This window comes from Homo sapiens, chromosome 12 (assembly GCF_000001405.40).
Source record: "Homo sapiens chromosome 12, GRCh38.p14 Primary Assembly".
NCBI classification, from domain to species: domain Eukaryota; kingdom Metazoa; phylum Chordata; class Mammalia; order Primates; family Hominidae; genus Homo; species Homo sapiens.
Genome location: NC_000012.12, coordinates 54,226,161 through 54,244,030, shown reverse-complemented (window position 1 = coordinate 54,244,030; position 17,870 = coordinate 54,226,161). Strand labels below are relative to the sequence as shown.

The window sequence follows — 17,870 nt, the reverse complement described above, 5'->3', positions numbered from 1 at the left end:
GACTCTGTCTCAAAAAAAAAAAAGTTGTATAATCAAAAGGCTTAACATTTTATCTGATGAGAGTACTGCTGGTAAATTACCCAGAAACCTGTATTTGAAGAATTGCCATATTCTGTCAGAAGTAAGGAGCTATATGGACTGCTTGTTTTGTTTTGTTTTTTTGAGACAGCGTCTTGCTTTATCACCCAGGCTGGAGTGCAGTGGTACCATCTCGGCTCACTGCAACCTTCGCCTCCCAGGTTCAAGCAGTTCTCATCCCTCAGCCACCTAAGTAGCTGGGATTATAGGCATGTGCCACCACACCTGGGCAATTTTTATATTTTTAGTAGAGACAGGGTTTCATCATGTTGGCCAGGCTGGTCTCGAACTCCTGATCTCAAGCAATCCACCTGCCTTGGCTTCCCAAAGTGCTGGGATTACAGGTATGAGCCACCACGCTGAGGCTGGACTGCTTTTTAAAAATTTTATTTTAGACAGTGTCTCGCCCTGTCACCCAGGCTGGAGTGCAGTGGCGTAATCACAGCTCACTGCAGCCTTGCCCTCCTGAGCTCAAGTTATCCTCCTACCTCAGTCTCCTGAGTAGCTGGGACTACAGGTGCATGCCACCATGGCCTGCTAATTTTTAAAAAGTTTTTTGAAGAGACCAGGTCTTCCTATGTTGCCCCGGGCTCAAGTGCTTTTCTCACCTCGGCCTCCCAAAGTGCTGGGATTATAGGTATGAGGCGCTGTGCCTGGGCTGGACTGCTTTTTCCTACTCAGCCATATGTGGTTACTTACAATTTACATTAACATTAATTGGCTTTTTCCACCATAGTCCAAATTTGAGTATCTGCTCCAATAAGGTGGTAATTTTTCTTGTCCACATCTCAGGATAATTCTATTTTGTTTTTTATTATTTATTTATTTTGAGACAGGGTCTCACTCTGTTGCCCAGGCTGGAGTGCAGTGGTTCAATCTCAGCTCACTGCAACCTCCACCTCCCAAGCCCAAGTGATCCTCCCACCTCAGCCTCCCAAGTAGCTGGGACCACAAGCATGCACCACCATGCCTAGCTGATTTTTGTATTTTTTGTAGAGATGGGTTTTGCCATGTTGCCCAGGCTGGTCTCAAACTCCTAGGCTCAAGCGATCCACCTGCCTCAGCCTCCCAAAGTGCTGGGATTACAGGCATGAGCTGCTGCACCTGAGCTTCTCAGGATAATTTTAATTTTTTTTTAATTGATTTGGAATCATGCTTAAGGAACCATGTAGCTAGATTTTTTTTTGTTATACTTGGTATTAGAGGCCCTACTGAGATAATTGAAATTTGTAGCTAAATTTTTATTTGCTCGTTGTTCCAATCCACAGTTCTGGCCAGAGGGGTAATGAGTATTTAAACGGACACAAGGTGAGGAGGGTTAAGACCCCTTCACTTAGATGATCTGGAAACTGGATTGACCAACCTGTGTATAATTGACTTGTGCATAATCAATAGAGCTGAATGTAGGTTTTTTTTTTTTTTTTTTTTGAGACGGAGTCTTGCACTGTTGCTCAGGCTAGAGTGCAGTGGCGCGATCTCAGCTCACTGCAAGCTCCGCCTCCCGGGTTCACGCCATTCTCCTGCCTCAGCCTCCCGAGTAGCTGGGACTACAGGCGCCCGCCACCACGCCCGGCTAATTTTTTGTACTTTTAGTAGAGTCGGGGTTTCACCGTGTGAGCCAGGATGGTCTCGATCTCCTGACCTCGTGATCCACCCGCCTCGGCCTCCCAAAGTGCTGGGATTACAGGTGTGAGCCACCGTGCCCGGCCCCTGAATGTAGGTTTGATTGGGTTCACTCACATGCTCATATTCACAAATAAAAATTTTGGAAGCAGATTAATATTATTTATTATTCATCTTTTTAACCTAAGCCCACCATGGTTTACATCTAAATTCTAGCTACAGACATCTGTTTCTGTATAATATATTAGCTATTAATCCATTTACTTACATTTCTTCTTGAAAATATTGAAAGGGTCCTTTTCACCTTGAAACCAAGGTGAGGAGGAAATCAAGTCAACTAAATCCATATAATGACATAAACGTATGTCTGGACAGATTCTTTCACTCTTCCTCTCCTTTTAAGTCTCATATTCTTTCTCTCCAGGAAAGACACAGATGAAGCTGACCTGGTTCTTGCAAAAGAAGCTAATGTGAAATGTCCACAAATTGTGATAGCATTTTATGAAGAGAGACTGACATGGCATGCATATCCTGAGGATGCGGAAAACAAAGAGAAAGAAACAGCAAAGAGCTAAAGGAGGGGATGGTCTCTGTCATTTCTCTTTGTACATAATACATTCACCTCCCTGCCTCCTCTCCTTTCTACCCACCCCTTTCTATCCTAAACACATCCATAAAAAATGTGCTTATCACTGTGCTCCACAGGAGAAATGTTGGTATTGGTTCTCTTGTAACATAACTGATGGTCTGATTAATGATAAGTGTCTCTCTGTGAAGACCAGGCATTTACATACTGAGTGTAATACCCACAATTTTTTTTTCCTTTGCCCTGATCTCTTCCTTCTGCTTCCCTGTGACCTCAAGATGAGTTTCAACTTTTTAATCACCTTAGAGTCTTGATCTTTTCAGGGTTGGTCGCTTTTTAGGTTGGGGGATTTTGTTACAATGATGTTGAATTTTGGTTTCTTGCTTTGGTTCTTAGAACATGTTGCTGACTAGCTGGCCTTTGTTCTGACATGTTGAGATGGAAAGGATGTTGCCCATCTGTTAAAAAGCCAATAGCAACTGCCTACCTGTTGGGGCTTTCCCAACCTTGTTCAGCTCTACCCAGGAGAATACAGGGTTTCTGGTGTGGTCTTCTGGGCCACCCTCTGTTGTTCATCCTCACTCATCCTCCCAGAATTACTCCATCCTTTGGAAGATTTGAAATTTTACACTGAAATCTGTCAAGACACTCTTTTTAGCCCCAGGACTTTCGGTATTGCTTTTAGCACTCCCCACTTCTGCTTCTGTAAAGTGATATCAATTTGTGATAAAATGACAAGATTATTAACTGTGCAGATTTGTAGCTATAGTACATGAGGATGATGGGGTAGGGTACAATTGTCTTTATTATCATATATGGTATGTATGTATGATTTCTTTCCATTCCTCATATTTAGACTGTATATTTATGTAGGTGTGAGTGATTGCCTGGTGCTTGCTTGTGCCAAGGTGCTAGGCACCCTCCAACCCTGCCAACTTTTGTGGCCTCCCAAAGCATTCCTGTTACCAAAGAGGCTTCAAACCTGACCCTCACTTCTCAGTGGACCCGAGTTTCCCTTCCATGCCATTATTTTCAGTGGGGAAGTTTTAGAGGTGAGCTGTTGGCCACAATATCAATTTTAAGTGTTCATAGCAGTTATGTCTCCTGCATTCTTGGCTCCTGGATTTACCACCAAGAGTCCCCAAAATATTAATGCTCTTCCCTTTTTCTACCCTCAAACTTATAGTTGTATCTTATTTTTTAAAATGAATTTTCATGGCCAGGCACAGTGGCTACCGCCTGTAATCCCAGCACTTTGGGAGGCTGAGGCAGGAGAATTGCTTGAAGCCAGAAGTTTGAGACCAGCCTGGGCAATGTAGTGAGACCCCCTGTCTCTAAAAAATATAAATAAAAATAAAGGCATGTTCCTGAAAGACTGTCACCTTGGAAAGTGACAGGCCCTGGCATTAGCATGTTGACACACCCTTTTCTTCTTACTCAGCAAAATACTTCGTTTTGGTTTCTTCTTGTGTTGCTATTGAGAAATTTGTCTGATCATATCCTTCTGCCTTTGTCCCCCAAGAAATGCCCTACTTTATCCTTTTCTTTTTGTAGTTGAGGAGGGCTAGAGAATCACAATTAAAAGTAAGGAAATAGCAGGGTTTTGAGGATCCTTGTCCCAGCCCCAAAGCTGAGGAAATAAGAATAAATGCTTAATATAGCCTTAATTCTAGAGCGCACCAGCCATGAGGCTGCTTTTCTTGTTGTTTTTGATTTTTAAAACATACAGCTGTCTGGCCAGGAGCATCTACCATTTCTAGATTATTCAGAGTAATGAGGGGAATGGATGGATTGCTCCAGTCCACAGATGAGCCACATAATATGCAAATCATATACCCATTCATAGCATTTGTTAACATTGCTTCCCTGCTCAGCTGCTGATTGAATTCTGTGTGCTTATATAAATTATGTCAAAAATTATACTGCATAATTGAGGTGACAGCTGTTGCTGCAGTGACATGACAGACTGGAACAATGAAGCTTTTGGTTTAAGTCAGCCAGGAAAATCCTTCTGAATGGTAATGTGATTGGGCAAGAGCTCATAAACCATACCTCAAGTGGGTGGGAGTTTTATCTCTATATTCCTTCTCTCTCTGAAGGAATTAAAGGCCTAGATCAAGTGCTGGATAATTGACAATTGCTTGTACTTAATCTGATCGGTATCTAAAAGAAGGAAAGGATGGTCAGGAAACATTTATCATAAATGTAGCCAAGGATATCAATTAGGGTAGACAAGAATAGGACAAAAATAGGCCAGAGCTCCTGAGGAGGTGATATGGGTCTCTTGATTTGCAGAAAATGACAGCCTATCCAAGTGGCCCAGTGTATGCCTCCCAGTAGCAGTGGGCATGTAAACTGCAGCGACCTTATTTTTAAAACCAAAAACCTAGTATGTGGACAAAGAACATGACAATATTTGGTACTGAGATTGGTTCTGAGAAACCTGGGGCATGTGGCTGCTGTGGTTATAGGTAATATTTAAGACATTCATAAAAATCTGATATTCTTTTACCGAAATAACCCCAGTATCATCTACTACTTACCATCTGTTAATAGACTTTACTCTGTCTTTTTTGTCTTCGGTTTATTGTACTGAGTGCCGCCAAAACAACTTTTGTTCTCTTCCTGCCTACCTGCAGCTGGTTCTATAGGAATGTAGGGAGCCAGAGGCCAGTATTGATTTCAGCCCTTAGCACAAAGGAAATCAGATGCCTGCTTCCAGCATTTGTTAGTGTTGAGTAGATGTTCTTGCCCTAGAAGAATTACAGCCTCAAACAGAAACCTGTTTCATGGAGCTTTCTCCCCTCAGAAGAGTTAATAGTTAAGAGCTAAGCACTCTTAAACACCTAAGTCTCAAATGCTAAAAATTTATTTTTCTTGTGTTTAGTCCTCTTTCAAGACATCTTTCTAAGCCTTTCAGTAATCAACATTAAAAGATCTCCCTTTCTTCAGAGTTATAGCACAGCTTTGCCCAGTAGAGGCTACCAAGGACAGCTTAGCAGCCCTTTGATTGCTGGGCTGGGCAGATGGCCTTCAAGTTAAGATCAAATGCCGGGAAAATCAGCCTACATGGGAGCACCCATTTTAAACCTGGAGAGAACCATGATGTTTTCTTCTTCAAATAACAATCTAGTTTTTTTTCCCCCAGTACTAAAATTGTATTGTCTTTCAGACAATATAATTTTTATTTAAAATTGGAACATACTATCTTCATGCTTTCTAAGCTAAATCTTCATTTAGATTTCACTCCTCAGTAGATCCCAGAGAAGAAGCTATATAGGATCCAGATTCAAATTTAACAGTGTCTTCTACTTTTTTAGTTATGTTTTCTATCAACTCCTGCTGCCTTTTCAAATACGGATATTTTTCAGGAGACTCTTCTACTTGTCCACTGACTGTATTTTTTCCTTTTTGATCCGTAGCCCTGGTTAAATGGCTGACATCCTTCCGTGGATGATTCTTGGAGGTAGTCTCAGAATTCCAAAGTGATTGTCTGTCTTCTTCTTGTCTTGATCCTAATGCAGACATTCACCTCTATTATTTATTTATTTTTTTTAGACAGAGTCTCGCTCTGTCACCAGGCTGGAGTGCAGTGGCACAATCTTGGCTTACTGTACCCTCCACCTCCTGGGTTCAAGCGATTCTCCTGCCTCAGCCTCTCGAGTAGCTGGGACTACAGGTGTGTGCCACCATGCCCAGCTAATTTTTGTATTTTTGGTAGAGATGGGGTTTTACCATGTTTGCCAGGATGGTCTCGATTTCCTGACCTTGTGATCTGCCCACCTTGGCCTCCCAAAGTGCTGGAATTACAGGCATGAGCCACCGTGCCTGGCCACCTCTATTAAATTTTTGTGGACAAAAATAAAATTGTCATTATTTGTTTGCTCTCATGGAGCACTTTCAGTAATACAATTTTTTTTAAATTCCAGTTGCCCTCTTTGTTGCTCTGTCCTCTGTAATACCTGACTTTGCTAAAGACTTGAGGGGTGGTTTCAGAGGAGGGTCAGGTGATGGGAAGGCAGGATGAGAAAAGCCCTGGACTTGCATGTTTGAGAAGGCTTCCAACCACATCTTCACTCAGACTCTTGGAATTCCTGTCCCCAAAACAAGCTTCTGTTTTTTGCTCACAATGCTATATTTCTAAATTTTTCCTGAATTACTGAGAAGCAGTCATTAGCTTTGTTAAGTTTGGTTTGGGGACATTGTTGGTATCAAAAATCGAAGTCTTATTCATTTGATGTAGGCCATGAATCATCAATAACTGGTTGCTGGAAAGCTTGACTACCATCCACTGGGGTGCTATTTTGAGAAGGATTTTTGGGTATCTTTATAGTCTGCAATTAGTTGATGATTGCTTTCTAGTTTATCAACTGCATTTATATTTGCTTTTCTGTTCATGGAAAATCCTTTATTTGCTGGGGTTTTTTGTTTGTTTGTTTGTTTTTCCCACTTACAGCAAGTAAAAGTGGTCTGAGGTTATCCTTGTTTTTCTTCGCGGTTTGCCATGTGTGAAAGTAGATTTCCTGCTATTGATATATTCTCATTATAGACAGAATAGTGGAGAACAGTGTTGCCATGGACAAAATCCAGTTTTGGTCCACTCTGGGGAGCATTTGGACCTGTGGTGCTTCTAACAATTAAAAGTCTAGATGGTCCTTGACTGTCCCCCAGCCATACTGCATACTACTTTGTGCATTCTACTTTGTGTCATTAATGAAAGATTGGTTCTGTCCCTGTAACTTAGGCATTTATTATTCTTAACTCTTCATTCCTGTTCTGTAGCCACCCAGCAGTCCATTTTCCCTATGTTCAGGCCAAACCACAGGGCATTGGGGAAGGTTTTTGGGATTTTCTTATTGAGATTTTGTTGAATCTGTAGTTTACCCCAGCTTTCCTAAGGTACAGTGAGGGGTTGGAGGGATCTGTGTTTGGCCCGGGGAGCAATTGTCTCTACCTTAAGGTTCAGTTTTGAGGGCATAAAATACTACTTTGCAATGTCATGAGAACACCGTTAGATCTGAAATGTGGAAATGGTTTCTCACAATTTAAAGGAAAAACCCACTTTGCACCCATGATCCCATCATTTTGGTTGAGATTTTAGAATAAAAAATATAGTGTTGAGATCCGTACTTTTGTAATCAGACCACCAAGCATGCCTGTGGCAAGGCAGAGAGGAAAGGTCTGGAGCCAGTGTATTGCAGTTTCATGCTACCTTTACCTGCTAATCATAAAAATTATGTTTTCAAAAGTAGATGATACTAGCCTTACACCCAAAAACATGTTCTGAATTAGATGCCCCCTCACCCAATTTTTATTAAGCTTTCTAAATTCCAGCCACATTGCTGTACATCAACATTGGTTTCATTCAACAGACATTTTTTTGGCCTGAAGATACAAGGTTCAGAAAGAGGCCATCCCTGCCCTCAAATAACTTTCATACTGGTGTATGATGAACTGACCATTAATAGTTTAAGTGCTTACAAGCTATGTTTCTGTTCAAAAAAAAAATAGTTTGGTATAATAAATGCTATAAACCAATACACATTTCTGACTTGGGGGCAGAGACAGACTGGCTGATGTTGTATAGTTTGTAGCCCTGGAGTAAGAAGTTGACATTAATTTCGGCCTATATGTGGAAAAGACCTATAACATTGGGTGAACTGAGCCAGCTGGCCATAGAACACAAGAACATATTCCAGGAAATAAATATAGCTGGAGGGTTGGAAATGCTGTTATTACTGAGAGAGAAAACAGGTGAGTTGGGATTGAGAACTCCTGATTTTCATCCCTGGTTTAGATTCTTGGCCAAAGTAGTGGTAGAGTTAATCTTTGCTTGTGGAAAGCATTAACTATGTTGCAGATTCAGTTGTGTTACATTATTGTGGGTTCTATAACAACATATTCCTCATGGACACTTTACCAGAGTTGCTCACACCTTTTTCAATTTCTCATCCCTTTTGGAGGAATGAACATGAGACTTAACTGCCTTTAAGCCTAAAACGGACATGCTTTCCAATGACAAGAGATTTTCTAAAGAGAAGTCTTGGAGCACATCTGTTAATACCTGAGCATCTACTCTGAGCAGTGCAGTTTTATTCAATACTGGAGAGAGGGTGATTTCTTTTTTTTTGAGACGGAGTCTTGCTCTGTCTCCCAGGCTGGAGTGCAGTGGCGCAATCTCGGCTCACTGCAAGCTCCACCTCCCGGGTTCACGCCATTCTCCTGCCTCAGCCTCCCGAGGAGCTGGGACTACAGGCGCCGGCCACCACGCCCGGCTAATTTTTTGTATTTTTAGTAGAGACGGGGTTTCACCTTGTTAGCCAGGATGGTCTCAATCTCCTGACCTCATGATCCACCCACCTCGGCCTCCCAGAGTGCTGGGATTACAGGCGTGAGCCACCGCCGGGCCGAGAGGGTGATTTCTAAGCAGAGAATTGTATCAGTTATGTGGAAACCTTTGCCAGAAATACATATACCTTGTATATTAAATCTGAGTCTCAGATTTAATCATCGAAGCGTAGCTGGGTTAAGAAACAGTCTGATCGTAAGGATGTTGTCGATTCTGACCCATGGATGACCACAAGAAAAAGATATTTATTTCTGCCTGGATAATTGAGAGTTGACTAACTTTGGAAGTCAGAATTCCCAGGAATTAGAGTAACTGCTCTGGAAAGTTAAAGTGTGAAGTTTTTTAGATAGTTTCATAAAAACAATTCTGGTTTCTTTTTGCTTGTGCTGACTTTCTTGGATTTTAATCTACCTCATCTTGTCTTTTTAGAGTTACTTCAACTTGTCACTTTAACATTGTGCTTGACTTTGGTTGTTTTCTAAGATGGAATTTTTCCTGTTCATTGACAGCTTGTTCTCTTGCCTTTTCATTCTGATCCTCATTTCATCTAACATCATCTCATATTGCTCCTCTGTCAAGAGAAATGTTTTAAAATAGTTTAAAGTCTTGTTTTATGGGAAGAAAGTGATCCTCCAATGCTATTTGTTTCTGAGGTCAGTAAGAGAAGGAGTTAAAACAAGGCAGTGGGGAAGGGAATGAATCCTGCACTGGAGGCAAAAGCTGACAAGGAAAGAGCCATTAATTAAGACAATTTCAAAGTCAACTGATTGTGATCATTAATGTCACAATAGATCAAAACCTAATTATCACAGCCTAGGTAAGAGCCATCAGTATTAATCGGAAAATCTAATAGGAAACTATTATCAAGAAATTAGGCCAAATTGAATGCAGTGAACTTTTTATCTTGGCATTCTCTATTTTTTTGTGATGTCCCCTGGCATTGGCAGGTGTGACCCTAACAGTCGATTCAAGGCCAAGTGGTCAGTTTGTCAGCCTTTTTTAAGGGATTTCTTTTTATTTTTAGGAATTCCAAACAGAGTTAACCTAAACTGTCATTGCCAAAAGATCAGTCTTAAACTTTCTTAGCACCTGTACCTGTTTAATGTGATCAGCTATCAGTGAGGAAAAAAAAAAAAATCTATTTAGGTCTTGGAATGGTTCCTGTACCTAGAGTATCCATATTGAACCTTTTTTTTTTTTTTTTTTTTTTTTTTTTGAGATGGAAACTTGCTCTTTTGCCCAGGCTGGAGTGCAGTGGCGTGATCTTGGCTCACTGCAACCTCCGCCTCCCGGGTTCAAGCAGTTCTCTGCCTCAGCCTCCTGAGCAGCTGGGATTATAGGCGCCTGCCACCATGCCCGGCTAATTTTTGTATTTTTAGTAGAGACAGGGTTCACCATCTTGGCCGTGCTGGTCTTGAACTCCTGACCTTGTGATCCGCCTGCCTCGGCCACTCAAAGTGCTGGGATTGCAGGCGTGAGCCAGCACCCGGCCACAGTATCTTTATTACAGCTCACTGCAGCCTCAATCTCCTGGGCTCAAATGATCCTCCTGCCTCAGCCTCCCAAGCAGCTGGGACTACAGGCGCACACCACGGTGTCTGGCTAATTTTATTATTTAAAAAATGTTTTGTAGAGACAGTCTCCCTGTGTTGCCCAGGCTGGTCTCCAACTCGTGAGCTCAAGTGATCCACGTGCCTCAGCCTCCCAAAGTGCTGGGATTACAAGCATAAGCCACCGCACCCGGCCCCTAGTGAACATTTTACTGTATGTGTTGATAAATCATCTTTTGAGTTTCTGTTGTATGTGGGGACTTCCTACACTGGCTGCTGTGAAGAGGTATGGAAGAAAGGAGAGGCTTTCTGCCTAGAAATTCTTTGAGAACACCTGAAAAGACAGTTTAATCATGTCACAACACTCTTAAGGCTCAAGTCAGTGTTCTGGTTTCCGGTAGCTTTAGGATTGGATTCTAAACGAGGGCTGGTGGTGAGTTTGGTGTTTGTCTCGTGTCACCCTCACCCCTCACCTCCTCAGTTTAGGATAAGAGACATAATGATTTCTACCAGAATCCAAAGTAAATCCAAAGGGGGAGAAAAGACATAACTGTTTTTTCTTCTACCTTTTTTTTGTTAAAGAGTTACATCTCTCACAGGAGGAAAGAATTCAAGAGTCTATATGATTAGTTACAGAGAATATTTTCATCCCCTCTCCCTGAATAGAAAAGCAGGGGTCACCATTTGTATCCTTACCCTTGAGGTGTTTTTGAAGATGCTGTAACTCTTGAAGTTGAGCTGAGGCAGAAAGGTTGGAAAAATGCAGCCCTCTGGGTATTGTGGGGAGGGATGTGATGTAGTAAGAGGGTGTTTTGTGGTGCTAGGATTCCCACGCCACCAACTTGCAGCTTTATAAGAGCGCTACCAAGAACCACCACTGGGGAAAAGGTTCTTATTCATTGTTTCTGTTGGAATGTGATCTTGCTTTCTGGATTTTAGGAATTCAGGTTACTCAGTATAAAACTCTGAGAAATCAGTGTGACTTAGTCCTTCACCTCCTAAGATAAAGTGAATATTTCTTTACAAAATAATTCATGTCCTTAATGTTAAAGATGTAATTTTATTTTCAAAACATCTATAACATGACTTTCAGAAGCAGTTCATTTTTCCAAGATTCCTCACATTATACTAGATAAATAATAGGCCCTCAGTTAATACCCTTCAGTTATTGAATTAATCTAGTTTGTGGAATGAGGTGTATCCTGCCAACTTCCCTCTGCTCCCAAGTACACTCTGAGAGGTAAAATGCTCTGGGAAATGGAACAAGAATCGAGTGGATGCTGACTCTGTGTGCCCACCTCCTCAACTGATTGATAATGGTTGACCTTGGGCAAGTCACTTCTTTCAATGCCTCAGTTCCCCATCTGTCAAATGGGGTTAATAATACTGACCTACCTCACAGGGGTGTTGTTGTGAGGCATTGTAAATCAAAGTTAATAGAATACTTCAGGGTCCTCTGTGGAGGATGTCTTGAGCCAGAGTTTAAGCCTGACACACAGGCTTTGGTCCTCACTGAGCTGTCTCCAAGACTGGAACTACTTAGTGACTCGGCAAATTTTCTGCCCCCCACCCCTCATCAAAGCTGCTAGTTCAGATGTTGACAGTGTTTTCATGAATGTTGGAATCTTACTAGTCCAGACTTACTTAGGATGTTGTTGGGGAAGGCACTTGGGATTTTCTGTGTCTTGCATTCACAGAGGGAGGCCATTTCAGATTCAAGAGCATTGGATTAGGGAATCGTGAGGCAGGGATGCTACTGCGTATTTCTCTCTGCAGGTTGGGGATTAAAGTTCCTTTCCCCATGGGTTTGAAGCAGACTCAGACTGTCTCAGGATCAAAGCAACCCTCAATGGTTTTGATTTATGTCATTGCTTACCACTCCCCAACCAATCCCAGGACAGCTGGGTCACTGTACCCCTTTGTGGTATCTGTACCTGGGCCTCTCCTTCCTCATAGGGACCAGCTGATTGAATAAATGTGACCACCTTATTTCCACCCCCCACCCCCAAAAGCTACATTGGAATTATTTTTCCTAGAAATGTGTATAACACTCAGAATTGGGCATTGATCCTTAAAGCTTCATCCCATTCACCGTATTCAACATCTGTCATCTCTTAGTGTCTGCAGTCTGAACCTAACCTTGACCTTTTTTCCCTCTGGTTTGAGAAAACTTTGGACACTATTTCTACTTGGCCAGGTGTGGGCTCAAGAGCCTTACTCTTTCCATCTCAGTTTAGGGGCGCAGCCAGCTCCTCTTCCCAATAGGGCTCTTTCTGCTTTCCCTCTCCTTGGCCCTAGATTTGTAATCCATGAAAAAGCACAAGGTCCTGGCTCCTTGCGGTCACATTCTGGTTCTCTGTGTTTTGTGGACTCTGCTCTCACTGTTCACCCAGCACTAGCAGTACCAGATGGTTCTGTGGAGTCCTGGGGAATGGAGAGAGCACAGTCTGACTCCCTGCCAAGTAGCCAGGAGTTGACTTGCCCATGGTCCGCTGGCTTTCCCACCACTTCCTACAGGATGGGATCTAAGAGACTCAAGAGCTGGGTTTCTTTCAGCACTCTGTACTGTCCCAAATAGCAAACAAATCACTTTGTAGCCAGATTTCTGAATGGAAATGAGAAATTGAATTCTCCATGGACTTTTAGGTTTATGGGGGAGTTTTAGCTGTGTTTCTTGGTTTTATTTCAGCCAAACATGTCTGCTTTTGATTTTTTTTTTAAAGTATAAGTGGTCTATATATATGTTCACCTTTTAAATGTAAATGTTTAAAAAGTAAGCATTTATGTGTTTCCATAACTGACATCTGATGCAGACCTCATTCTCTCCCCCTCTTCTACCCTCCTCTTTTCCCCCTTTTCATACTCTTGTATTGGTTCTAATAAATGGTTGCTTTTCAAATATGGATTCTGAGTGGTGGTTTAAAGATCTGGGTCTTATGCCCCTTCTTTAATTTGGGCCCTGGAGTGTCAGCTCAATTTCTGAAAGAGCAACAAGACTTGGAGAACATGGGCTTCTTTTCTAAGGATTATTGGTCTCTGACTTTCTGCAAATAACCACAGGTTGGCGCAAGCCTGAGGAAATAAGATAATGCGTATCCTGTTTCCTACTCTTATTTCCTTAACTGGTTCAGTGTGTACCTTTCCTGGTTTCCATGCTCTTCTCTGCTCCTAATGGTTCAGAGAATAAATATTAGGCTTCAGCAACCTAGGGATCCCTGGAAGAGTCATCTCATGGCTATTAGAACTTATGGAATACCACATCAAGCAAATGCAGTCTAAATCAGGTTTGAAAATATGTGAATTTGTAAACTTTGTATTTTATCTTTCTGATTTGCTTCACAAATACCAAAGAAACTTCTCTGAGGATGGAAGGCTTGCAGGTCAGGAACATGGTGTGAGGTCAGTTGGAAGTTAGGAGGAGGAAAGTATGTGGATAATCAAGAAATTATCGAATAATATAAGCCTGATGTAGCCCTGAATCTAATGGAGATAGGCAGAAACTCACAGAAGAGAGAAGTGAGGAAGATGAAGGGGTCACCAAACCCAGATATCCTCCCACTGATATGTGAGGCCTCTGGAGCGGAGCACTTGTTTCTACCATCTCTTACCTGCAATTCTCCCCTCTTGTTTTCCTTTCTTGCTGAGTTATAGGGTCTCCCCAGTCTAATCTCGTAAAGTCTTATGAAGACATCTGTAGGTTGGCTGGCTTAATGGTCCATGACCTCATAAACATGGGACAGGAGAGCCATTTGGTCCACTTCAGAGCCAGACCCTTCTGGACATTATTTATTTCCTACCATGGAAGCCTGAGACTGCTTGCCCTCTTCCCTTTCGATCTCTTTCTTGCTCTCTAAACATCATGTCACTTTGTCTCTGTCTCAGGCCCACTGGAAAGCACAACTCCAGGGTTTTGACACCCACGCTTGTATTCCTAAACTATGTCTTGGTTTTTGTTTCCCTCAGTGAGGGGCTGTGCCTGCATGGCGTTCATTCAGATGACCTCATCATTGCTCATAGCTCTCCTCCCAGGAATCTTGCCTCAGTGTGCTGGAGAAGTCAGGAACTGGGCAATTTTGCCTCTCCTTTTGTCTTCATTAAAGAGCTTCAGAGCTTGTGAAATCAGTGCAGCACTGGCAGCCTGGGGAAAATGGAGGATCACTGTGTGGGAATCCCCTTCATTGGATCACTGAGCACACAGTTCTATGTTTTTCTTTTTTTTTTTTTTTGAAATGGAGTCTCGCTCTTTTGCCAAGGCTGGAGTGCAGTGGCGTAATCTTGGCTTACTGCAACCTCTGCCTCCCAGGTTCAAGCGATTCTCCTGCCTCAACCTCCCGAGTAGCTGGGACTACAGGCGCCCACCACCACACCTGGCTAATTTTTGTTTTGTTTTGTTTGAGACAGAGTCTTGCTCTTGTTGCGTAGGCTGGAGTGCAATGGCATGATCTCAACTCACTGCAACCTCCGCCTCCCGGGTGCAAGCGATTCTCCTCTCTCAGCCTCCTGAGTAGCTAGGATTACAGGCGTGAGCCACTGTGCCCAGCCTAATTTTTTTTTTTTTTTTTTTTTTTTTTTAGTAGAGACAGGGTTTCCCCATGTTGACAAGGCTGGTCTCGAACTCCTGACCTCAAGTGATCTGCCCGCCTCGGCCTCCCAAAGTGTTGAGATTACAGGTGTGAGCCACAGCGCCTGGCCTGAGCACACAGTTCTAAATCGCTCTGTTAAGAGTCAGCAGCCCTCAGCCTCTGCTCTTTGGAAGTAAGTGTGAGCTGGGGGTGAAAGCCCCAGTACTGAGGGCTGCTGAATGTGAGTGTGTGCAGAGGAGAGCCCATTATATCCTGTGGACACACCAAAGTGCTCCCCAAGCCTTGAGAGTGACTTGTGCATCTGTGTTGGGGAACAGGAAGACAAGGTGAAAGCTGGGGGCCAACTGGTGTGTGTGGGCATGCCACACAGGCATTGCGGGGATTCTGTTGTTCAGGCCAAGATGAGGCAGCAGCCACTGTGAGAATACCCCAAGAATTCACCTGCTTAAAGTCACAGAGAAGATGAAGACAGATGAAGGGAAGGGTCTGATTCTCAGCTCTTTGGCTACTTGGCCTTTTTTCCTCTTCCCTGTTGCTCTCCTGCTTTCCCCTCCCACTCCGCAGCTGTAACATCTTGCTTTCCAGTTGCTGGCTCCCTCCTCTCTCTTAGCTTCTGCATTTATTTGTGAGGCTGTATTTTTTATGGTTTCTCCCCTTTGTCTACTATATTGTGTGTATTTTTCTCTTTGTCTTCTTTTCTTCCTTTTCTAGTCTCTCCACCCCATGTTCTCAACATCCCCTTTAAATTCCATAAGCAACCTCAATTTGGACATTTAATTTTAACCCCATCAAATTATTTCTTATAACAATCTGGGACTCTTTATGAGCTCTTTCTCCCCCATGCTGCTTCTGGAAACAGGTGCTTCTGTTTATGTGTATAATGTGATGCCCCCTCCCACACTGGGAGAGGTGATGCTGGCTCAATAGCCTCATGCCTCGTCTCAGCAAAGCGTTGTTTGATCATTTGGTTATGAGCCAAGGAGGGAGGAAGAGATGCTGAGAATCGAGCTTGCTGATATATTTGGGGGCTGCTGAGATGAAAAGGTTTAGGGTTATTATTGTAGCCTTTCCTTTTAATTCCTCTTTCTGCTGCTGCTATCTTCTGGAGAAGGAAGCTGGTAGGAAGCTGAGGTATTGACCACAGCTGCTGCAGCTTATGAAATTCTTACAAAATTAGCTATTAGGGAGGCTGAGGCAGGAGAATTGCTTGAACCCGGGAGGCAGAGATTGCGGTGAGCCGAGATCATGCCACTGCACTCCAGCCTGGGCAACAAGAGCAAAACTCTGTCTCAAAAAAAAAAGAACAAAAAGAAATTCTGCTTCTACATCTGCAGCAAGGGTAGGGGTAGGGATAGGGGGTGGAGATGGGGTTGAGGTAGGAGGGCAGGTAAACTAGGGTCCTTGCCTTTGCTGTGTAGGAAGGAATGGGAGAGTCCATTCCTTCAGACTGTTTCCATGCAGCACTTACTTATGCAGCCTGTTTCCCCTTTGCTTCTCCCCACTCCACTCCACACTATAATCCTCTGCTTCTGTACATTTCAGCTATTCTTGGTAGGAGCCAGGACAGCCCAGCTCCTAGACGCCTGGGCCTGTCCTCTGTCACATACCCCCTTGCTCTAGTTCCTGCCTTACCCTTCTAGTCCTGTCTGCGCATGGAGCTGGGAGATAGAGAGGATGGGGCTGCCACAATGCTCCCAGGAGAGAGCAGGGCTGGGGCTCCCTGCTGCTCAAGGGTGTGGTGCAGCCACATGTCTTGCTTCTGGAGCAGGTCACAGGATGCTTCCTCCGTGTTTTTTTCTGCCCTTTTAATTTCCCTCTCCCTAACCTTTTCACTGTTCATTGTCCTTTCTAGTTACTGTATTTTCCTTTTTATCGTCTTCTCAGTTCTTCCCATTTTCCTCTCCCATTTTTTGTTTTTTTTGATATGGAGTCTTGCTCTTGTTGCCCAGGCTGGAGTGCAATGGTGCGATATCGGCTCACTACACCTTCTGCCTCCTGGGTTCAAGTGATTTTCCTACCTCAGCCTCCCGAGTAGCTGGGATTACAGGTGCCCACCACTATGCCCAACTAGTTTTTGTATTTTTAGTAGAGACAGGGTTTCGCCATGTTGGGCAGACTGGTCTCGAACTCCTGATCTCCGGTGATCCGCCCACCTCGGACTCCCAAAGTGCTGGGATTACAGGTGTGAGCCACCGCACCCGGCCCCTGTTTTTTATTTTCATGTGTCAGAGAGTACAGAGCTAATAAGGGGGAGTGAGGGAAAGGTTTAAGTTGGAAAGAAAAGTGTAGATGGTTTTTCCTCATTTCCTTTGGAAATGTGGGGAAGCGGGGAGACTACCATCTTTCTCTTCCTGGGAACTGGAGCATCTCTCCATCCCCAGCACTCCTGATTCTCTCAGCAGTGATGTCTAAAACGGATTCATTATCTTGAAAAATAGTTCCAATTCTTATTGTGTGTGTGTGTGTGTGTGTGATTACATATTTGTGAGAGAGAACACAGTCAGTTATCTGTGTGGTATATTTCTGTTAAAAATTTAAAGATGATCACTTTTGAGAATTTTATAACCCTCCTTAACATGATTGGAGCCATCTGGTTGTTGCAACAAGACTGGAAATTACTGGTCTCCAGTGTCCCACTAAACCAGTTGGGTCCTTATTTCTGTCCGAAATTTTTGCTGCCTTATTTAGCATGGGAATGAAAACTTTCTTTGGGGATCTCCTTTTGTCTCATTCATCAGCCTAAAGGATCATGGGGCAGGTAGAAACCATTTCCCTGATTCCTCTCCCCACCAACCCCACCAGCCTCTGCCCAACCCCGCAAAAGACAGGCCCAGCCTGCCTGTAGAGGGAGGTGAGGAACAGTTCCTGGGCTCAGAGATTGGATCTCTCATCCTCACCCTTTGCTTCTCCCCATACTTCTTACACTCAAAACAGAGAAGAGGGGTGGTTGGAGACCCAACTTATAAGCTTGGATAGAGGGGGTAGAAAAGAGAGAGGCACAAGGTTGTCCCTGTGAAAAACTAGGAGACTGTGGAATAAAATGAAGAAGGACAGCCAGGGATGGGGGCTCAAGCCTGTAATCCCAGCACTTTGGGAAGCTG

General features: G+C 43.3%; 1 protein-coding gene and 1 non-coding gene across 4 annotated transcripts in view; both read left to right on the top strand.

Annotated features, from left to right (window-relative positions):
* Positions 1-13,089, top strand: part of CBX5 (chromobox 5) — a 49,181-nt gene extending 36,092 nt beyond the window's left edge. For 2 of the 3 annotated variants that reach the window (NM_001127321.1, NM_001127322.1), the window contains exon 5: positions 2,126-13,085. In NM_001127321.1, coding sequence (NP_001120793.1) covers positions 2,126-2,276 — 151 coding nt within the window. In that variant the 3' untranslated portion in view covers positions 2,277-13,085. Of the gene's footprint in view, positions 1-2,125 lie in introns of all 3 variants that reach the window. The other variant, NM_012117.3, reaches the window with a different exon arrangement.
* MIR3198-2 (microRNA 3198-2) lies at positions 12,555-12,634 on the top strand. The gene has a single exon (NR_039851.1). It is a non-coding gene; the product is annotated as a microRNA 3198-2 (primary transcript).
* Positions 13,090-17,870: the final 4,781 nt, after the last annotated feature.